Raw genomic sequence first — 24,681 nt, forward strand, 5'->3', positions numbered from 1 at the left:
GTGCTACTGCACTCCAGCTTGGGCAACAGTGAGATTCTGTCTAAAAAAAAAAAAAAATTAATCTGACAACCTCTTTTAAAAAAATAAAAGTAATGAAAGACAACAGTTATCCATAGCACTTGACTCTGGACTTCACCAAGCCAATTCCTCATACAGATATTAAAGGGCTGAGTTTGTTTACAGAAAACATTTTATGAAGTGCAGTGGTTCGGGGCTCTGACTCTGCAGTCAGACTTGCCAGTTCTGCCCTACACTGGCTGTGTGCCTTGGGAAAGTTACTTAGCCTCTGTGTGACTCTATTTTTTTCATCTGTAAATAAGAATAATTAAAAATAAGGCCGGGCGCAGTGGCTCATGCCTATAATCCCAGCATTGTGGGAGGCCAGGGTGGGTGGATCACCTAAGGTCAGGAGTTCGAGACCAGCCTGACCAACAGAGTGAAACCCCATCTCTACTAAAAATACAAAATTAGCTGGGCGTGGTGGCACAGGCCTGTAATCCCAGCTACTCGGGAGTCTGAAGCAGGAGAATCGCTTGAACCCAGGAGGCAGAGGTTGCAGTGAGTAAAGATCACGCCATTGCACTCCAGCCTGGGCAATAAGAGTGAAACTCCGTCTCAAAAAAAAAAAAAAAAAAGAATTAAAAATACCTATGTCAAAGGGCTAATTTTAAAGATTAAATGAGTTAATATATGTAAAACAATTAGAACAATGCCTGTTACACATAAGCACTTTACTACTGCTATCCCATCTTAACTTTTTACCTAAAAGTATGGGTAAAGAAAAAGTAATTTTACTTTTATAAAATTGTTTTTAATTATTAAATATTACACACTGAACAAACAGTAATTCACTTTTCTATCAGACTCAGATGCTCCAAAGATTTTTATGGGTTGGGACCATTTGGTTTCTTCTGCTGTATAGTGGGGAAAAAAAATGTAAATTATTCTCCAGTCCAACTCATCGTTGTTTCCCTAAATTGAAAAGCAAACTGAGATAGTAAAATAAATTATTTTTAAGTCCACATTTTCCCATTTCATCAATTTTATACAACCTGATAGAGTAACTCTGGAAAGAACAGCAATAGTCACGGAGTTTCCATCAATAACAAGCCTTAACCTCCTATTTCCAGTCTAATACTTTTCAGATACCTAATAAATGGTATCTTATAAGTAACAGAACAAAAATCATTTTTGCTATAACAAGAATATACAGACAAGACCCTATCAGCTAAAGACTAATAGTGTATGTAGTGGCTCCTTAGGCCACTACAGCTTGTTCATTTCTTCCAGATTAAAGGATACAATAACTGTTCTATCAGCAGAGGCTGTCAAGATGAGTTGATTTTTCTCTTCACAAGATTCCAAGGAAGGAAATGTAATAATAGCTGTTATCTTTTGAGTGTGTCCATTCAGTTCTAAAAGTTTTTCCCCTGTCTGAAATACCAATAAAAATGTTAATAGGCTTAGCTTTCACAATTTAGATAATCATAAATGACTACATTAAGTACAACTACCATATAGAAGATACATATACATTCCATTTAAAATTACTTATTCAGAATTTAACTTAAGCAATCACACAGAATCTAAACAAGCACTGAAAGTACAGCCATAACTATAGTTTTATTTTCTAAAACAAAATGCTAATTTTTAGTATATTTTTATAGAAAATTTTGAGTATTTTTTTCTATAAATTTAAAAATATAATTGTGTAAATTAAGCATAAAAACATCAGTAACTTAGTTTGCAGGAAAAAAATATGGAGTCCTCATTGTCCAAGTATTTGTTATTTAAGTCTCCACAGTTATAAGGTCATAGAAGAAAATAAAAGTCACCATAACAACTGTATATGTACCTACACACAAATAAGTATATATATCCACTCATTTATTAACCACTTAGAAAGTCAGTCTCCACTCCATCGTTATTTAACACCAACATCTATTCCTACCCATCCAGTGTCTTCATCCATCAGTCTCTGACTAATTTACCAAGTAGTAAACATGCAAAAATACAATGTAAATGGCAAATCTTTCCAAGATTGCAGGACTTCGTGAATGTGGTGAAAATAATGTTAAAGAACTGATTTTATCACAGGCAAAGCCATTGAAAAATAAAGATCTGACACAGTCAGACTAGATAACAATCCAAAATTAAGGTGAGAGGAAGATACTTCAAAAAAGAATAATTTGAGTAACAAATGATCAGGAAGGGAGGCTCTGAAGAAACTGGTGAAGCCTTAAGTATTTATTTAAAAAAAAAAGGCTTTTGTAATATTAAGTCAAACATGAGAAAAATGTTACATTATGCTATTACGCAATGTTGAAAGAAAACTTGTGTGTCTCACAAAAATCAACACAATTCATTTATTCATTTTGGAAGTCAGGGCATAGCTAGTGATAACCTAAATTTTGTTAAATAAGATTAAAATTTTGTATTTTTTGAATTTTCATACTTTGGCATTTGTTTCTTAGGAAAAAACTTTTTTTTTTTTTTTTTTTTTTTGAGACAGTCTTGCTGTGTCACCCAGGCTGGAGTGCAGTGGCATGTTCTCGGCTCACTGCAACCTCAGTCTCCCGAGTAACTGGGATTACAGGCATGTGCCACTATGCCCAGCTGATTTCTAGTATTTTTAGTAGAGACGGGGTCTTGCTATGTTGGCCAAGCTGTTCTCAAACTCCTGGCCCCAAGTTATCCGTTCGCCTTGGCCTCCCAAAGTCCTGGGATTACAGGCACGAGCCACCACACCCAGCTGGAAAAAAAATCTCAATTTAAAAAAACTTTCCCTCTTCATTATGAAATACTGGTCCCCACTGTATATGGATTTATCCTAATTAGCTCTTTTCAAATATTAATGTGTCAATTAACAGTGATATGTAAATGTATCCCCAGATAGTATTTATATGAATACATACTCAACTACATCATCATATCTTTATCACACAATCCACACATAATCAATACACACCTGGGCATTCCACACAACTACAATTCCATCATCACCAGCAGATGCAAATCTGGTTAGGGAGAAAGGGTCAAGAAAAAAAAATCACTGGTGACATTTAATTACTAAGATTAAGAACTATCAAACCTTATTAGTGGTATTTTGACTAATATTAACGAAGATCAAGTTATTTCAGCTAATTTAAAAAATATTTATGAAACACATTCCAGCTTCTGTACCAGGTATGGAAGATCAAAAGATAAATAAGACATTTATAAGTTTACAAAGAATAAACTGCTAGAAATGTAAAAATAATCTTTAAAGTCCTTCTTTGCTTTAAAATTCTATGATTTTAAGAAATCCCTGACTTAAGTGAAATGAAACCAAGCTGACAAGTGCCTTCAGTGACAGGAAGTGATATTCTAGGAAGTGATTACGATGTTAAATAAATTCATTACTTCTATTATTCTCTCTGTAAATAATTATTATTTAAAGTCAAGATCTCTCTTTTGCTCAGCTCAACTCCTTAGTCTTTCCACATAAATGCTTTGTTCTTGGTTTGGAAGATTTGAGGATTTTTTAGGGTTTTTTTGTTGCTTTTTAGTGAAGATGCTTGAAATGCACAGGTAAAGCTTGTCTTATGGCATGAAAAATGAGCTGTGATAGTCTGCTATAGCTTCTCTCTCCTTTTTATATCCCATTCACCATATCACAGGGACAATCACCAAATTCTGTAGAGTAGAAGATATTCTGAACATAAACACTATCAAAAGGAATAACCTGTCATACAGGATTATTCATCACCATATTATACTAAAATTCACCATCTTATTATACTAACGCAACAAAGTAGTATAAATAATCACATCATAAGCATGTCAAATAATTTACTGTTAATGTCATCCACAAGTTTGTAAATAATTTTTAATGACTCAGAATCAATTTAAAGTTGTCCCCATAATATTGCTTTCACTCAAATTCAGGCTTTTTTTTTTTTTCAGTATGAGAGAAAGAAGTGGTGTTAAAGAGAGCCAGCTATGAATGACATATAACTGGCCCCTTATAATTAACAGATGCTATGTGAGCATCTGTTCTAATGGATTTTTTACCCCTTTATGAGATAACAAAATCCCACTATTTCAGTCATGAAATACTTTCCTTAACACTCCAAACTGAGTTTCATGTTCAAATTTCTTATCTTCAGTTTCAAAGTTCAGTGCCTTCACTGGCTCAGACAATTCCAATACTCAGTTCTTATTTCAAAATCCTTTGAGTACATCTACTACTGGTAGAACCAAGATTATTCAGGAGACATGAAATTGATCAAATACAGTCTGACAGTCTTTTAATAATTTTTAAATACAGAACTACCTATCTTTTTAACAGAATGGACCTGTTAAATTTAGGTAACTAGCTAAAAATCACAAAGAGTTATTTTTAAATCCATGCCTATCATTTATTCTTATTTTAAAATGTAACATATAAAAGATCCGGAGATTAAAAAGAAAATGATCATTTTTAAAATAAAAATAGATTTCCTATGCTTAATTATCTACATTTTCTCAATCAGATTAGTAAATAGTACCTTGAATATCAAAAATAGTTGCTGGAAATAAATCTTTAGCAGCTTATGTTTCTGGGCCTATTGATTTCTTTTTATTTGTATAGTGATGGTGGGGAGGGCAGGACTCAAGGTCTTAAGTGTTCTTTGGTATAAAACATCAATTTCTATTGATTCTTTAAACTTAAAATTGCATTTAGAAGACAGCAAGTTTAAAATACATACTTTTTTTCTAACCCTAATTTTTAACTTCTTATGATTGTTTTATCATGTTTGACTTTCATGAGTTCACAATGAGAGATGACTGAGAACAGCTGAGAGTTTAGAAATGGGATATAGAGCATTTAACCTCAAACTTTAATTCAATCAGTAGGGAACAAAAGTTAAATCTAAATAAGGCTCAATAGTAATGCATGAAATCACAGTCAATTTTTTATTGCTGCAAGGTCAATTACCTGGTTGGTAGATTATTCAGGCCTTCTATTCTTATATATATTCTATTGCTACCATTTTTTTTTTTTTTTTGCCATTTCAGTATTTATTACTACCTCCCCTAAAGAGGAAACATTAAGCTTTAAAATACAAACCAGTATAACTTTGACACATATTAGTACCTGTCATAAAAAAACTAATAAAGGGTTGAGATATCATTCACAAATTACAATTACCCATCCTATTATGATGGATAACAAAAAACTAGCTATACTTTATCAGTTTATCTTAAACTAAATCCTAGTCAGTCAAGCATACACTTCAACCATCTCCAAATCAGAAATGGAAATACAACCCAAGAATTCCTAATTGTAAGGTATAGTGTAACTGCTGAAAAGAAGTAATGAACTATAAAATAAAAAAAGGATTAAAATGTCAATAAAGTTTAAGCTATTCTATCCAATGGAAGAATAGTAATATTGCCAGATAACATTTTACATACTAATTTTTAAAAACATTCTAAAGTAACAGAAAGCAAAAACTTAAGCCTAAAGATAAGATTTTGAGAGAAATGTTTCTTTACCGATTAGCAAAAAATGTATTCAGTGTGATTCCGTGCTAGGAGTTAGGGAAATGTGAAGACACCTTACATGTGGTTCTTGCTTTGAGATCTTAAAACTTTATGATTGTTTAGAAATGTACCGTATTTCATCAAATCTAAGACATCAATTGTAAGACACTCTTATTTTATTTACCATTAAGGAAAACATACTGCCAATTACAATTGAAACACACAATTATATGATGTGTCCAAATTTTAGAGATGTCAAAATAGAAAAAAATATGCTTCTTAGAATCATGAACTCTAAGAATTACCATATTTATTGATCTTTATCTTTATAACATGGCACTTGCCAGTCTAATGAATCTCTGATTATCTCTGGCAGGTTTTAAGTGCTAAAGAAATGCTTGTTGAATGAATAAGTGAATGCATAAGCAAACATTTAAGTGTTCAAGGGCTCTGTGAAATAGATTGATTAATGATGGCAATGTAACCCCATATTTTCCTTTTATCATAATTAATGTAAATATACTACCACAAAAAATAGAAACTTAAAAATTTAAAACCCAGAATCCCTACCACACAAAAATAAATTTCTATATTTTTTCATATTCCTGTCCAATTCTTATCCATATACTTCAGGTTTTTTCTTTAACTTAAAACCAAGTCCAAGATCACACCACTCTCCAGCCTGGACAACAGAGCAAGACTCCATCTCAAAAAAAACACAAAAAACAAAAAAAACCCAAGTTGTTAAAAATACTCCTTGAGACTACACAATTAAATGACTAAGCAAAACTTACATTCATGAAAAACAAGTTCAACAAGGTGAAACATGGTTTAACAAAGACCTATGGCAGACCTCCTAGAATGTTTCATCCTCTCATCCCCTAATTATGAGAACTAAATTTATTATGATAGTCCATAAGTCACTCGGTAATTCAATACTTACTAAGCACTAACTATATAGATGCTTAAACCTAAGAATAAAGATCAAGAGATTGTTCTTGCCATTCAAGAACTCACAGTCCAACATTACCATGTGATGCTATAGGGTCTAGATCATGAGTCCTTAGAGAATTCTCACTTACAACCATCTTAATGTATAAAAATAATTCCCTCTAAACATCTTCTCTTTGAACATCTCTGAGAAAGTATTCTCTCGTTCCTTCCAACAGTGGGCTGAAAACTACAGCAAAGCTTAATAAAGATTTGTAAAAAATAAATTGTTTTCACAATAATTCTTATGTCCAATAGCTAAATGCTCATTTAATAGTTCTTACTCATGTGAAGGCCTTTCAACTAAGTGAAGGTCCCAAAAATTCAAATGTTACCTTAAAGGACATAAAAAGTATAGTCCATAAACCTGAACCATAAATCTTCCTGTATTCAATGTCTACATAAGGCACTGAAAAAATAAAAATCTTAATACGACATTATTATGGCAGTACAGGCACCCCAGTGGTTAACTTTCCACCTAACCTGCAAGTACTTTCTAATGCATGATAAAACTAAAATACTATACAGTTTCCATGATCATCTCATCATTTTTTTTGTACAGTAAGACGCAGGATCTAAATAAGGTCTATATAGCACAACTGCTTGATATATCTCTAAAGTCTCTTTTTTCTATGGTTTTGTTCTCCATCTTTTTCTTCCTTGCAATCTTTTTGTTGAAAAAAGTTGTCTCTCTTCAACCCAAATGTCTATCAATGATAGACTGGATTAAGAAAATGTGGCACATATACACCATGGAATACTATGCAGCCATAAAAAGGGATGAGTTCACGTCCTTTGTAGGGACATGGATGAAACTGGAAACCATCATTCTCAGCAAACTATCGCCAAGGACAAAAAACCAAACACCACATGTTCTCACTCATAGGTGGGAACTGAAGAATGAGAACACTTGGACACAGGAAGGGGAACATCACACACCAGGGCCTGTCGTGGGGTGGGGGTAGGGGGGAGGGATAGCATTAGGAGACATACCTAATGTAAATGATGAGTTAATCGGTGCAGCACACCAACACGGCACATGTATACATATGTAACAAACCTGCATGTTGTGCACATGTACCCTAGTTGTCTCTCCTGTATAATTCTCACAGCCCAGATTTTGCTGACTACTTTCCTCTGTTGTCATCTAACATGCACCTCTGTATTCTGTATTTTTAGAAAACTGATCCTTAAATCTACAGACTTAATCCAATTCAAATCTGACTCTTTGGTAAGACCATTTCATAAGCAGTTTGTATACTCCATTAGGAAACAAATTTCTGGCAGTCATTTTTGCGTGTGTGTGATGTTAACACCCATCAATAATCACTGCCTGAAGTCATTATTACATTTACAATAAAATAACATTGAAAAAATGCTAAGGGTATCAGTGATGGAAGATCAAATGAATGAAATGAAGTGAGAAGAGAAATTTAGAGAAAAAAAGGATAAAAAGAAACAAAGCCTCCAAGAAATATGGGACTATGTGAAAAGACCAAATCTACGTCTGATTGGTGTAACTGAAAGTGACAGGGAGAATGGAACCAAGTTGGAAAACACTCTGCAGGATATTATACAGGAGAACTTCTCCAATCTAGCAAGGCAGGCCAACATTCAGATTCAGGAAATACAGAGAACGCCACAAAGATACTCCTCGAGAAGAGCAACTCCAAGACACATAATTGTCAGATTCACCAAAGTTGAAATGAAGGAAAAAATGTTAAGGGCAGCCAGAGAGAAAGGTCGGGTTACCCACGAAGGGAAGCCCATCAGACTAACAGCAGATCTCTTGGCAGAAACTCTACAAGCCAGAAGATAATGGGGGCCAATATTCAACATTCTTAAAGAAAAGAATTTTCAACCCAGAATTTCATATCCAGCCAAACTAAGCTTCATAAGTGAAGGAGAAATAAAATACTTTACAGACAAGCAAATGCTGAGAGATTTTGTCACCACCAGGCCTGTCTTAAAAGAGCTCCTGAAGGAAGCACTAAACATGGAAAGGAACAACCGATACCAGCCACTGCAAAAACATGCCAAATTGTAAAGACCATCGAGGCTAGGAAGAAACTGCATCAACTAACAAGCAAAATAACCAGCTAACATCATAATGACAGGATCAAATTCACACATAACAATATTAACCTTAAATGTAAATGGGCTAAATGCTCCAATTAAAAGACACAGACTGGCAAATTGGATAAAGAGTCAAGACCCATCAGTGTGCTGTATTCAGGAAACCCATCTCATGCACGGAGACACACATAGGCTCAAAATAAAGGGATAGAGGAAGATCTACCAAGCAAATGGAAAACAAAAAAAGGCAGGGGTTGCAATCCTACTCTCTGATAAAACAGACTTTAAACCAACAAAGATCAAAAGAGACAAAGAAGGCCATTACATCATGGTAAAGGGATCAATTCACAAGAAGAGCTAACTATCCTAAATATATATGCACCCAATACAGGAGCACCCAGATGAATAAAGCAAGTCCTTAGAGACCTAGAAAGAGACTTAGACTCCCACACAATAATAATGGGAGACTTTAACACCCTACTGTCAACATTAGACAGATCAACAAGACAAAGTTAACAAGGATATCCAGGAATTGAACTTAGCTCTGCACCAAGCAGACCTAATAGACATCTACAGAACTCTCCACCCCAAATCAACAGAATATACATTCTTCTCAGCATCACACCACACTTATTTCAATATTGACCACATAGTTGGAAGTAAAGCACTCCTCAGCAAATGTAAAAGAACAGAAATTATAACAAAATGTCTCTCAGACCACAGTGCAATCAAACTAGAACTCAGGATTAAGAAACTCACTCAAAACCGTTCAACTACATGGAAACTGAACAACCTGCTCCTGAATGACTACTGGGTACATAACAAAGTGAAGGCAGAAATAAAGATGTTCTTTGAAACCAACAAGAACAAAGACACAACATACCAGAATCTCTAGGACACATTCAAAGCAGTGTGTAGAGGGAAATTTATAGCACTAAATGCCCACAAGAGAAAGCAGGAAAGATCTAAAATTGACACCCTAACATCACAATTAAAAGAACTAGAAAAGCAAGAGCAAACACATTCGAAAGCCAGCAGAAGGCAAGAAATAACTAAGATCAGAGCAGAACTGAAGGAAATAGAGACACAAAAAACCCTTCAAAAAATTAATGAATCCCGGAACCGGTTTTTTGAAAAGATCAACAAAATTGATAGAACGCTAGTAAGACTAATAAAGAAGAAAAGAGAGAAGAATCAAATAGACGCAATAAAAAATGATAAAGGGGATATCACCACCAATCCCACAGAAATACAAACTACCATCAGAGAATACTAAAAACACCTCTATGCAAATAAACTAGAAAATCTAGAAGAAATGGATAAGTTCCTTGACACATACACCCTCCCAAGACTAAACCAGGAAGAAGCTGAATCTCTGAATAGACCAATAACAGGATCTGAAATTGACGCAATAATTAATAGCTTACCAACCAAAAAAAAATCCAGGACCAGATGGATTCACAGCCGAATTCTACCAGAGGTACAAGGAGAAGCTGGTACCATTCCTTCTGAAACTACTCCAATCAACAGAAAAAGAGGGAATCCTCCTTAACTCATGAGGCCAGCATCATCCTGATACCAAAGCCGGGCAGAGACATAACCAAAAAAGAGAATTTTAGACCAATAACCCTGATGAACATTGATGCAGAAATCCTCAGTAAAATACTGGCAAACCGAATCCAGCAGCACATCAAAAAGCTTATCCACCATGATCAAGTGGGCTTCATCACTGGGATGCAAGGCTGGTTCAATATACGCAAATCAATAAACATAATTCAGCATATAAACAGAACCAAAGACAAAAACCATATGATTATCTCAACAGATGCAGAAAAGGCCTTTGACAAAATTCAACAACTCTTCATGCTAAAAACTCTCAATAAATTAGGTATGGATGGGACATATCTCAAACTAATAAGAGCTATCTGTGACAAACCCACAGCCAATATCATACTGAATGGGCAAAAACTGGAAGCATTCCCTTTGAAAACTGGCACAAGACAGGGATGCCCTCTCTCACCACTCCTATTCAACATAGTGTTGGAAGTTCTGGCCAGGGCAATTAGGCAGGGGAAGGAAATAAAGGGTATTCAATTAGGAAAAGAGGAAGTCAAATTGTCCCTGTTTGCAGATGACATGATTGTATATCTAGAAAACCCCATTGTCTCAGCCCAAAACCTCCTTAAGCTGATAGGCAACTTCAGCAAAGTCTCAGGATACAAAATCAATGTGCAAAAATCACAAGCATTCTTTTACACCAATAACAGACAGAGAGCCAAATCATGAGTGAACTCCCATTCACAATTGCTTCAAAGAGAATAAAATACCTAGGAATCCAACTTACAAGGGATGGGAAGGACCTCTTCAAGGAGAACTACAAACCACTGCTCAATGAAATAAAAGAGGATACAAACAAATGGAAGAACATTCCATGCTCATGGGTAGGAAGAATCAATATCGTGAAAATGGCCATACTGCCCAAGGTAATTTATAGATTCAATGCCATCCCCATCAAGCTACCAATGACTTTCTTCACAGAATTGGAAAAAACTACTTTCACGTTCATATGGAACCAAAAAACAGCCCGCATTGCCAAGTCAGTCCTAAGCCAAAAGAACCAAGCTGGAGGTATCAGGCTACCTGACTTCAAATTATACTACAAGGCTACAGTAACCAAAACAGCATGATACTGGTACCAAAACAGCATGATACTGGTACCAAAAACAGAGATATAGACCAATGGAATAGAACAGAGCCCTCAGAAATAACGCCGCATATCTACAACCATCTGATCTTTGACAAACCTGACAAAAACAAGAAATGGGGAAAGGATTCCCTATTTAATAAATGGTGCTGGGAAAACTGGCTAGTCATATGCAGAAAGCTGAAACTGGATCCCTTCCTTACACCTTCTACAAAAATTAATTCAAGATGGGTTAAACACTTAAATGTTAGACCTAAAACCATAAAAACCCTAGAAGAAAACCTAGGCAATACCATTCAGGACATAGGCATGAGCAAGGACTTCATGTCTAAAACACCAAAAGCAATGGCTACAAAAGCCAAAATTGACAAATGGGATCTAATTAAACTAAAGAGCTTCTGCAAAGCAAAAGAAACTACCATCAGAGTGAACAGGCAACCTACAGAATGGGAGAAAATTTTTGTAATCTACTCATCTGACAAAGGGCTAATATCCAGAATCTACAATGAACACCAACAAATTTACAAGAAAAAAATAAACAACCCTATCAACAAGTGGGTAAAGGATATGAACAGACACTTCTCAAAAGAAGATATTTATGCAGCCAAAAGACACATGAGAAAATGCGCATCATCACTGGCCATCAGAGAAATGCAAATCAAAACCACAATGATATACCATCTCACACCAGTTAGAATGGCGATCATTAAAAAGTCAGGAAACAACAGATGCTGGAGAGGATGTGGAGAAACAGGAACACTTTTACACTGTTGGTGGGACTTCAACCATTGTGGAAGTCAGTGTGGCGATTCCTCAGGGATCTAGAACTAGAAATACCATTTGACCCAGCAATCCCATTACTGGGTATATACCCAAAGGATTATAAATCATGCTGCTATAAAGACACATGCACACGTGTGTTTATTGCGGCACTGTTCACAATAGCAAAGACTTGGAACCAACCCAAATGTCCAACAATGATAGACTGGATTAAGAAAATGTGGCACATATACACCATGGAATACTATGCAGCCATAAAACATGATGAGTTCATGTCCTTTGTAGGGACATGGATGAAGCTGGAAACCATCATTCTCAGCAAACTATGGCAAGGACAAAAAACCAAACACCGCATGTTCTCACTCATAGGTGGGAACTGAACAATGAGAACACATGGACCCAGGAAGGAGAACATCACACACCAGGGCCTGTTGTGGGGTGGGGGGAGTGGGGAGGGATAGCATTTGGAGATATAACTAATGTTAAAATGATGAGTTACTGGGTGCAGCACACCAACATGGCACATGTACACATATGTAACTAACCTGCACATTGTGCACATGTACCCTAAAACTTAAAGTATAACAACAAAAAAAATCACAATTTTCATTTAAAGTATATGTTTGTATGCTAGAACTACTTGAAGAAAATTAGAGAAGCATCCAGATAGGGACTTGTAAAGGAGTTGAAGGAAACGTCAAAGCATTTTCAGGAGCCATAGATGCTGACGCAACCAATTCCTTAATTAGATCTACTTCAACAATTTCTTTTCCTTAAAAAAGAATGTATTATATTAACATGACTCTAACATCTAAAAGTCTAAGGTCCTTTTTTAGCTCACAAACAAAGATTGCATAGTTCCCATGGTTATTTGCAAAGGTAAAACATTTGGTAAGTTCTTCCCTTCCCAAATCACAGATAGAAAGCTAAACTACACATCAAGATTACAGTAGGAGGAGGAGCCAAGATGGCCCAATAGGAACAGCTCCGGTCTACAGCTCCCAGCGTGAGCGACGCAGAAGACGGGTGATTTCTGCATTTCCATCTGAGGTACCGGGTTCGTCTCACTAGGGAGTGCCAGACAGTGGGCGCAGGTCAGTGGGTGCGTGCACCGTGCGCGAGCCGAAGCAGGGCGACGCATTGCCTCACTCGGGAAGCTCAAGGGGTCAGGGAGTTCCCTTTCCTAGTCAAAGAAAGGGGTGACAGACGGCACCTGGAAAATCGGGTCACTCCCACCCTAATACTGCGCTTTTCCGACGGGCTTAAAAAACGGCGCACCAGGAGATTATATCCTGCACCTCACTTGGAGGGTCCTACGCCCACAGAGTCTCGCTAATTGCTAGCACAGCAGTCTGAGATCAAACTGCAAGGCAGCAGCCAGGCTGGGGGAGGGGCGCCCGCCATTGCCCAGACTTGCTTAGGTAAACACAGCAGCCAGAAAGCTCCAACTGGGTGGAGCCCACCACAGCTCAAGGAGGCCTGCCTGCCTGCCTCTGTAGGCTCCACCTCTGGGGGCAGGGCACAGACAAACAAAAAGACAGCAGTAACCTCTGCAGACTTAAATGTCCCTGTCTGATAGCTTTGAAGAGAGCAGTGGTTCTCCCAGCACGCAGCTGGAGATCTGACAACGGGCAGACTGCCTCCTCAAGTGGGTCCCTGACCCCTGACCCCCGAGCAGCCTAACTGGGAGGCACCCCCCAGAAGGGAGAGACTGACACCTCACACGGCCGGGTACTCCAACAGACCTGCAGCTGAGGGTCCTGTCTGTTAGAAGGAAAACTAACAAACACAAAGGACATCCACACCAAAAACCCATCTGTACATCACCATCATCAAAGACCAAAACTAGACAAAACCACAAAGATGGGGAAAAAACAGAGCAGAAAAACTGGAAACTCTAAAAAGCAGAGCGCCTCTCCTCCTCCAAAGGAACGCAGTTCCTCACCAGCAACGGAACAAAGCTGGATGGAGAATGACTTTGACAAGCTGAGAGAAGAAGGCTTCAGACGATGAAATTACTATGAGCTACGGGAGGACATTCAAACCAAAGGCAAAGAAGTTGAAAACTTTGAAAAAAAATTTAGAAGAATGTATAACTAGAATAACCAATACAGAGAAGTGCTTAAAGGAGCTGATGGAGCTGAAAACCAAGGCTCCAGAACTACATGAAGAATGCAGAAGCCTCAGAAGCCGATGCGATCAACTGGAAGAAAGGGTATCAGCGATGGAAGATGAAATGAATGAAATGAAGCGAGAAGGGAAGTTTAGAGAAAAAAAGAATAAAAAGAAATGACCAAAGCCTCCAAGAAATATGGGACTATGTGAAAAGACCAAATCTACGTCTGACTGGTGTAACTGAAAGTGACAGGAAGAATGGAACCAAACTGGAAAACACTCTGCAGGATATTATACAGGAGAACTTCCCCAATCTAGCAAGGCAGGCCAACATTCAGATTCAGGAAATACAGAGAACGCCACAAAGATACTCCTCGAGAAGAGCAACTCCAAGACACATAATTGTCAGATTCACCAAAGTTGAAATGAAGGAAAAAATGTTAAGGGCAGCCAGAGAGAAAGGTCGGGTTACCCTCAAAGGGAAGCCCATCAGACTCACAGCGGATCTCCTGGCAGAAACTCTACAAGCCAGAAGACAGTGGGGGCCAATATTCAACATTCTTAAAGAAAAGAATTTTCAACCCAGAATTTCATATCCAGCCAAACTAAGCTTCATAAGTGAAGGAGAAATAAAATACTTTACAGACAAGCAAATGCTGAGAGATTCTGTCACCACCAGGCCTGCTCTAAAAGAGCTCCTGAAGGAAGTGCTAAACATGGAAAGGAACAACCAGTACCAGCTGCTGCAAAATCATGCCAAAATGTAAAGACCATCGAGACTAGGAAGAAACTGCATCAACTAACAAGCAAAATAACCAGCTAACATCATAATGACAGGATCAAATTCACACATAACAATATTAACTTTAAATGTAAATGGACTAAATGCTCCAATTAAAAGACACAGACTGGCAAATTGGATAAAGAGTCAAGACCCATCAGTGTGCTGTATTCAGGAAATCCATCTCACGTGCAGAGACACACATAGGCTCAAAATAAAAAGATGGAGGAAGATCTACCAAGCAAATGGAAAACAAAAAAAGGCAGGGGTTGCAATCCTACTCTCTGATAAAACAGACTTTAAACCAACAAAGATCAAAAGAGATAAAGAAGGCCATTACATCATGGTAAAGGGATCAATTCAACAAGAAGAGCTAACTATCCTAAATATATATGCACCCAATACAGGAGCACCCAGATGAATAAAGCAAGTCCTGAGTGACCTACAAAGAGACTTAGACTCCCACACAATAATAATGGGAGACTTTAACACCCCACTGTCAACATTAGACAGATCAACGAGACAGAAAGCCAACAAGGATACCCAGGAATTGAAATCAGCTCTGCACCAAGCAGACCTAATAGACATCTACAGAACTCTCCACCCCAAATCAACAGAATATACATTGTTTTCAGCACCACACCACACCTATTCCAAAATTGACCACATAGTTGGAAGTAAAGCTCTCCTCAGGAAATGTAGAAGAATAGAAATTATAACAAACTATCTCTCAGACCACAGTGCAATCAAACTAGAACTCAGGATTAAGAATCCCACTCAAAACCGCTCAACTACATGGAAACTGAACAACCTGCTCCTGAATGACTACTGGGTACATAACGAAATGAAGGCAGAAATAAAGATGTTCTTTGAAACCAACGAGAACAAAGACACAACATATCAGAATCTCTGGGACACATTCAAAGCAGTGTGTAGAGGGAAATTTATAGCACTAAATGCCCACAAGAGAAAGCAGGAAAGATCCAAAATTGACACCCTAACATCACAATTAAAAGAACTAGAAAAGCAAGAGCAAACACATTCAAAAGCTAGCAGAAGGCAAGAAATAACTAAAATCAGAGCAGAACTGAAGGACATAGAGACACAAAAAACCCTTCAAAAAATTAATGAATCCAGGAGCTGGTTTTTTGAAAGGATCAACAAAATTGATAGACTGCTAGCAAGACTAATAAAGAAAAAAAGAGAGAAGAATCAAATAGATGCAATAAAAAATGATAAAGGGGATATCACCACTGATCCCACAGAAATACAAACTACCATCAGAGAATATTACAGACACCTCTACGCAAATAAACTAGAAAATCTAGAAGAAATGGATAAATTCCTCGACACATACACCCTCCCAAGACTAAACCAGGAAGAAGTTCAATCTCTGAATAGACCAATAACAGGATCTGAAATTGTGGCAATAATCAATAGTTTACCAACCAAAAAGAGTCCAGGACCAGATGGATTCACAGCCGAATTCTACCAGTGGTACAAGGAGGAACTGGTACAATTCCTTCTGAAACTATTCCAATCAATAGTAAAAGAGGGAATCCTCCCTAACTCATTTTATGAGGCCAGCATCATCCTGATACCAAAGCCGGGCAGAGACATAACCGAAAAAGAGAATTTTAGACCAATATCCTTGATGAACACTGATGCAAAAATCCTCAATAAAATAATGGCAAACCGAATCCAGCAGCACATCAAAAAGCTTATCCACCATGATCAAGTGGGCTTCATCACTGGGATGCAAGGCTGGTTCAATATACGCAAATCAATAAATGTAATCCATCATATAAACAGAACCAAAGACAAAAACCACATGATTATCTCAACAGATGCAGAAAAGGCCTTTGACAAAATTCAACAACACTTCATGCTAAAAATTCTCAATAAATTAGGTATGGATGGGACGTATTTCAAAATAATAAGAGCTATCTATGACAAACCCACAGCCAATATCATACTGAATGGGCAAAAACTGGAAGCATTCCCTTTGAAAACTGGCACAAGACAGGGATGCCCTCTCTCACCACTCCTATTCAACATAGTGTTGGAAGTTCTGGCCAGGGCAATTAGGCAGGAGAAGGAAATAAAGGGTATTCAATTAGGAAAAGAGGAAGTCAAACTGTCCCTGTTTGTAGATGACATGATTGTATATCTAGAAAACCCCACTGTCTCAGCCCAAAATCTCCTTAAGCTGATAAGCAACTTCAGCAAAGTCTCAGGATACAAAATCAATGTGCAAAAATCACAAGCATTCTTATACACCAACAACAAACAGAGAGCCAAATCATGAGTGAACTCCCATTCACAATTGCTTCAAAGAGAATAAAATACCTAGGAATCCAACTTACAAGGGATGGGAAGGACCTCTTCAAGGAGAACTACAAACCACTGCTCAATGAAATAAAAGAGGATACAAACAAATGGAAGAACATTCCATGCTCATGGGTAGGAAGAATCAGTACCGTGAAAATGGCCATACTGCCCAAGGTAATTTATAGATTCAGTGCCATCCCCATCAAGCTACCAATGACTTTCTTCACAGAATTGGAAAAAACTACTTTAAAGTTCATATGGAACCAAAAAAGAGCCCGCATCACCAAGTCAATCCTAAGCCAAAAGAGCAAAGCTGGAGGCATCACACTACCTGACTTCAAACTATACTACAAGGCTACAGTAACCAAAACAGCATGGTACTGGTACCAAAACAGAGATATAGATCAATGGAAAAGAACAGAGCCCTCAGAAATAACGCCGCATATCTACAACTATCTGATCTTTGACAAACCTGACAAAAACAAGAAATGGGGAAACGATTCCCTATTTAATAAATGGTGCTGGGAAAACTGGCTAGCCATATGGAGAAAGCTGAAACTGGATCCCTTCCTTACACCTTATACAAAAATCAATTCAAGATGGATTAAAGACATAAACGTTAGACCTAAAACCATAAAAACCCTAGAAGAAAACCTAACCATTACCATTCAGGACATAGGCATGGGCAAGGACTTCATGTCTAAAACACCAAAAGCAATGGCTACAAAAGCCAAAATTGACAAATGGGATCTAATTAAACTAAAGAGCTTCTGCACAGCAAAAGAAACTACCATCAGAGTGAACAGGCAACCTACAAAATGGGAGAAAATTTTCGCAACCTACTCATCTGACAAAGGGCTAATATCCAGAATCTACAATGAACTCCAACAAATTTACAAGAAAAAAACAAACAACCACATCAAAAAGTGGGCGAAGGACATGAACAGACACTTCTCAAAAGAAGACATTTATGCAGCCAAAAAACACATGAAAAAATGCTCACCATCACTGGCCATCAGAGAAATGCAAATCAAAACCACAATGAGATATCATCTCACACCAGTTAGAATGGCGATCATTAAAAAGTCAGGAAACAACAGGTGCTGGAGAGGCTGTGGGGAAATAGAAACACTTTTACACTCTTGGTGGGACTGTAAACTAGTTCAACCATTGTGGAAGTCAGTGTGGCGATTCCTCAGGGATCTAGAACTAGAAATACCATTTGACCCAGCCATCCCATTACTGGGTATATACCCAAAGGACTATAAATCATGCTGCTATAAAGACACATGCATACGTATGTTTATTGCGGCACTATTCACAATAGCAAGGACTTGGAACCAACCCAAATGTCCAACAATGATAGACTGGATTAAGAAAATGTGGCACATATACACCATGGAATACTATGCAGCCATAAAAAATGATGAGTTCATGTCCTTTGTAGGGACATGGATGAAATTGGAAAACATCATGCTCAGTAAACTATTGCAAGAACAAAAAACCAAACACCACATATTCTCACTCATAGGTGGGAACTGAACAATGAGAACACATGGACACAGGAAGGGGAACATCACACTCTGGGGACTGTTGTAGGGTGCGGGGAGGGGGGAGGGATAGCACTGGGAGATATACCTAATGCTAGATGACGAGTTAGTGGGTGCAGCGCACCAGCATGGCACATGTATACATATGTAACTAACCTGCACATTGTGCACATGTACCCTAAAACTTAAAGTATAATTAAAAAAAAAAAAAAAGATTACAGTATTAGAATACCAAAAAAATCTGTGTGACTTCTATTAGGTGAACCTCCATTCCCCTGCACTCAAGTTTCCATGGAGGACTCCCACTACTAGAGAAACATTCTTGGTCTCTCTCTGCCCCACTTGCTTGAGACAATGAATTAGGCATGCTCAGTTCAGACCCTTGTGGGTTTTCTGGGTTGTTTTTTTTTTTGAGACAAAGTCTCGCCCTGTTGCCCAGGCTGGAGTGCAATGGCGTGATCTCAGCTCACTGCAACTTCTGCCTCTCAGGTTCTAACGATTCTCCTGCCTCAGCTGGGATTACAGGCACCCACGACCACGCATGGCTGATTTTTGTATGTTTAGTAGAGATGGAGTTTCACCATGTTGGGCAGGCTGGTCTCAAACTCCTTACCTTGTGATCCACCCGCCTTGGCCTCCCAAAGTTCTGGGATTACAGGCATGAGCCATCATACCCGGCCCCTTGTGGGTTTTCTGAAGATTCATCTGTTCACAGAGAGGGAACATACTGGTCTGCTCTTATTTTTGAGGTAAGCCTGTATCTGAATGGGAGGCTGGCAACTCTTCAGTTGCCCCAGGGATTCATTGAAATAGTCTACTTGACTCAGGGTGAAGTGTTAAGGAAATCCACTGTGGGTACATATTAAAGCCACATCCTGGCTGGGTTTGGTAGCTCACACCTGTAATCCCAGCACTTTGGGAGGCCGAGGCAGGCGGAACACGAGATCAGGAGTTCGAGACCAGCCTGGCCAATATGGTGAAACCCTGTCTCTATTAAAAATACAAAAATTAGCTCGGTGTGGTGGCACATGCCTGTAGTCCCAGCTACTCGGGAGGCTGAGGCAGAAGAATCGCTTGAACCTGGGAAGCGGTGGTTGGAGTGAACCAAGGTCACACCACTGCACTCCAGCCTGGGCGACAGAGCGAGACTCCGTCTCAAAAAAAAAAAAAAAAAAAAAAAAGAGCCATATCTGGTAATCCAGTTTTGTATCGGTTATTACTTTATGAAGCTGATATGTTCATGTTCATCTGTATGATTCCTACAACTATTCTCAATAAATTCTGTTCTCAAAGAGAAACAAGGGTGGTTCTCCACTGAACACTCAGAACACTAGCAATATCTAAGAAAACATTTTATTTCACAGAGGCATAAATACCTTTTAAATTGGCATTTTTATTTCCTCTATTTCAAATACAGATAGTTAACTTTTCATTACGGAGAATTTAAATATATACAAAAGTGGAGAGAAGGGCATTATAATAAAAAGCCACATGTACTCATTGCCTGTCTCTAGTAATTATCAATTTATGGCCACTAGTGTCTTATCTGCACCCAGTCCAACCCCTCTGTAAATTATTTTGAAGCAAATCCTAGTCACTGTATTTCATTTTGTCAGTATTTCAGAATGCATCTCTAAGGACTCTTTTACATCACACCTAAGTTAACATTTACTTCCTTAATGTCATCAAATACCCAGTCAATGATCAAATTTAGCTGATCGTAATTTTTTAAACAGTTAGAAGGATCCAAATAAGGCTTCTATAGTACACTTGGTTGATTTATCTCTAATATCTCTTTTATTCTAATGATTTTTTTCTCCATCTGTTTTTCCTTGCAATTTATTTGTTGAAAAAAAAATTCACCTGTCTTGTCGAGTTCTCACAGTCTGGGTTTTTTTTCCTGTGCTGTTATCCAACATGCACCTCTGTCCTCTGTATTTTTTGTTAATTGATAGTTAAATCTAGAGACTAAATAAGATCCATATCTGACTTTTTGGTAAGACCACCCCAAAGGCAGATTGTATACTCCATCCGGAAATATAATTTCTGGCTATCTTGTGTGTGTATGTGTATATGTTATGATTTAGGCCATCTAAATTCATTATTTCATTTGAAGGGGTTCAGAGCACATAACCCCAAACTATGCCACTCTGACATAATGATTATTTTCAGCTTAAGGCAACTGAGAAAATGCAGGCACAGAATGAGCTCTGTCCTCCCCACATCTACCTGAAAAAAAAAAAAAAAAAGCACACATCACCCTTGGGAAAGTGCCCCCGGAACCTCCACCCCCACTCCCATACCAGGAGGGGGATAACAACCTTTATCACAGATGAGATGGCACCAAGAGTTTACACAAACCAACCTCACTAATGAGCCCTTCTCTACCAGCAGTTTCCATCATATATTTGCCTTCTCACAATTTGCCACCCCAAGAAACTCAAAGTCCATTTCCTTTGTCTTGTCACTCAACAAATTTCTTGTTCTGCTAAGATGCTATATAAGCTGAAGTTTTATTTTTCTTTTTTGAGACAGGGTCTTACTCAGTCATCCAGGCTACAGTCAGTGGCCCCGATCACAGCTCACTGCAGCCTCAACCTCCTGAGCTAAGGTGATCCTCCCACCTCAGCCTCCCAAGTAGCTTGGACCACAGGTGTGCACCACCACACCCAGCTAATTTTTGTATTTTTTAATAGAGACATGGTTTTGCCATGTTGCCCACGCTAGCCTCAAACTCCTGAGCTCAAGGAATCCTCCCATCTCAGCCTCCCAAAGTGTTAGGATTACAGGGCTGAGTCACCGTGCCCAGCCTAAGCCCAAGTTTTAACCACCCCTACGAGTTACCTGAATACTCGTGTGTGTGTGTGTGTGTGTGTGTGTGTGTGTGTGTGTGTGTGTATGCAACGTATGCATTGATATACTTCTTTTTCGCTCATTAACCTGTCTTTTGTATGTCTAAGTTGTAGAGCCCTGATCAATGAATCTAAGATAGGTAGAAGAAAAGTGTTTTCCTCCTCTACACATTAGAGGTTGCAAAATTACAATATTCTAATTCTATCATTCTTCCTAGCTTGAATTCTTCAGAGAAATTTCTTCTCGTCAATTATTACTGATCCCAAGACACAGTTTATATAAGAAAGGCAGTATAGATTTTGACTCTGCCCTTTTATTTACCGATTTTCAACAGAATGAGTTAGTTCCCCAGCATTCTCCAAAGGTGAGTTCTCTTTTTTAAGTATCATTATGAACACATGGATTTAAACATATGTGATATGTTGCAATTCATTGCAGTTACTTCCTGTATCTATGCTCAAGTTGCCAGATGGATTTTTAAAGCTACATTTGAAAGATGTTCAAGAAAATAATTTTCAAATGCCTAGAGTAAGGGTATTTTGTAGTTGAGAGAGACTGATTTTATCTAGAAATTAGAGTTTTACTGCTAAGATGACAAATTTGAAACTGAAATACTGTTAGACACTTGCTGTCCTTATCCTAAAATTTGATTCTATGCTAATGCATGAAGCAGCAATTACCGTTTCACTCACTCCTGTCATCCTCCCAAACCCTGCAACATCTTATCCAACTAAACAAAACTCAGCTACAGCTCCAAAACACAAGCTGAAAGGACAAAATTATTAGAAATAAGGAGAAAAGCAGCAAGGGTGGCACACGCATCTGTGTGATGACACTGCCGAAATTCCCCGCTTGATTCAGGGCACGATGCAAAACAACAGAAATTCAATCAACACATTCACCACACATGGTGGATTAGGGGCCTTTAGAAATAGAAAAGCTATTTGGTTAACAGATTTTAGTAAAATTTACTATAATAAAGTTGTCTAAAGTCAACGTCACACTGGATATAAGTGCTTTAAAAAAATGCCAGATATGGAGTCTGTTATTAATATTGTAGCTGCTGGAATTTGTGATAAAAAGGATTCTGGTTATACCCTTTTTTCCAGGCATAAGTACGTTAATAGCTCTAAAAATATTAACTTTTTCAAGCCATCAAATAACTATTAACCAATGGCATACTTACAGTTTCTTAAAAAGCTGCCCAAAGACATAGCCAATGAGTATGTTCATGCAAGTTAAAAATAAAATAGACCAACTTACAACTATGGAAGTGTGGCAGACGCCAATACCTGCCTTCCAGACCCCCTTTCAAGACAGGACTCACTGCCCAGCTGTGAGGAATATAGTTATCTGACTGCCTCCAGCTGTTGACTTCAGGATCCATTTCTGCCTTCAAGCCAAAGTTATACTAGCTCAATCGGCTCCTAGTCACTGGGATTTAAGCAAGATAGTAGAAGCCAGGTGCATGTTCTTCATGAAGGACCCTCAGCAAATAACTAAGCAAGGCAATAGTACAAAGCCCTAGTTATTTACATCCAGTAGAGAACTCTTAAAAAGCAGCCTTTCCTCCAGCGGTCCCCATTGGGCTGGCAGAAACTTTGTCACATCTGCATCAGAGTCTGAGACAGCTCCCCTTATCCAATTCTGCTTCCTCCCTTCTCCTTTCATTGGCTTTCTCTCTTATAAACCTATTGCATGCTTAGTGTCTCCATTTTAGTGTCTCCTTCCCAGGGAACCCAGGTACTAGAAGGATCTATACTGACTATCTGTTTCCCAGGGAACCCAGATCCTAGGATCTAAACTATACTGATTTCTGTTCTCTGAAGGTTAGTGTATAAGAAAGAATATGTTTAGCTTGAGAATATTTCCTTTAAAATGAGCATATTGTTCATTTTTAGTGGATTATCAAGCTATACTGAGTTTATTTACTTTCTTGTGAATGTACAGCTTCACCAACCATCCTAGAGGCACATTTTGTTCTCCAATCTGGCACTTCATCATGGGTCATCTGATTCCTTTCCAGTCATGATCACCATCCTACATAACCTTGTCTGTTTCCTGAAGGAGCAAGGAATGGTCAAATGAGCAACGGAGAAAACTCTTCTTAAAATGTGTTATGAACTCAGTTTAGTTTAATGTGTCAAACGCTAGAGTATTACATGAAATTTTAGCACAGCCCATTTTTTGGAAGACTTTTGCTGAGGCTTAACCTTCTTTAGTGATCTCTCATCAATACGACCCTCACTTCATGTTCAAAAAATACTAAAGAAGAAAAGAAAAGGCAGCTGTCTGTTAGGTTATACAGGATTTATTGGGTATCTTCAAAAACCAATCCGAGAAAATTTTCCACTCACTGATTTTAGCTGAGCCACTGAGAAAACAAGAAAATCCTTCTGCAAAATTTTCAATAAGATGATATTATCTAAAGACTTGAAGCGTGAAACCTGGATTATAACAGCTGACCAAAAAAAACCCAGAGTGTAATGTCTTCAAAAACTAAGAAACAAAAAAAGGATAATGATATAAAATTTTAAAACTGGAAAGGTATTTCTCTAATTTGACAATGCATAATGTACATATGCAATGGTAAAGATAATTCTAAACTATTAAGAGTAAAAACATTCGGTTAATTCTGTTCATAATGTTTATACTTTGTAGATTTTCCTGTGTCCTTCTTACGAAGATGACTCTTTCGGTTTTTCTTTTTTAGTACACTACAGAATTAAATTTTTAAAAACAACATACAGACTGAAAGTTCTACAGGTCAGCAAATGACCGAAAAACTTCATAGTTGATTATATGTAAATTTGATGACTTTTCAAAGAATTAAATGTGAATCATGAAGTCATATCATCACTGTATTACAAAAGCCAAAAAGCAGGCTTCTTCATCTATCTTAGACTCACTGTGGTAGATCACAAACTGGCCACAAATTATTCCCCCTCCCAATATTGCCACCACCATTAGCAATAGGACTTAGTTACTTCTAC

The 24,681-nt window shown here is 37.9% G+C and overlaps 1 protein-coding gene and 1 long non-coding RNA gene across 10 annotated transcripts in view; both read right to left on the bottom strand.

Moving 5' to 3' along the window:
- Positions 1–24,681, bottom strand: part of WDR41 (WD repeat domain 41) — a 189,645-nt gene that overhangs the window by 30,860 nt on the left and 134,104 nt on the right. For all 9 annotated transcript variants that reach the window (XM_011543505.3, XM_047417350.1, XM_047417349.1 and 6 more), the window contains 2 exons: positions 2,969–3,017; positions 1,303–1,434 (listed from right to left, as the gene is read on the bottom strand). In XM_011543505.3, coding sequence (XP_011541807.1) covers positions 1,303–1,434; positions 2,969–3,017 — 181 coding nt within the window. The remainder of the gene's footprint in view (positions 1–1,302; positions 1,435–2,968; positions 3,018–24,681) is intronic.
- LOC124901009 (uncharacterized) lies at positions 20,175–23,749 on the bottom strand. The gene is made up of 2 exons (XR_007058828.1): positions 23,621–23,749; positions 20,175–21,064 (listed from the first exon to the last, which is right to left on the bottom strand). It is a non-coding gene; the product is annotated as an uncharacterized LOC124901009 (long non-coding RNA).

This window comes from Homo sapiens, chromosome 5, assembly GCF_000001405.40.
Source record: "Homo sapiens chromosome 5, GRCh38.p14 Primary Assembly".
Lineage (NCBI taxonomy): Eukaryota > Metazoa > Chordata > Mammalia > Primates > Hominidae > Homo > Homo sapiens.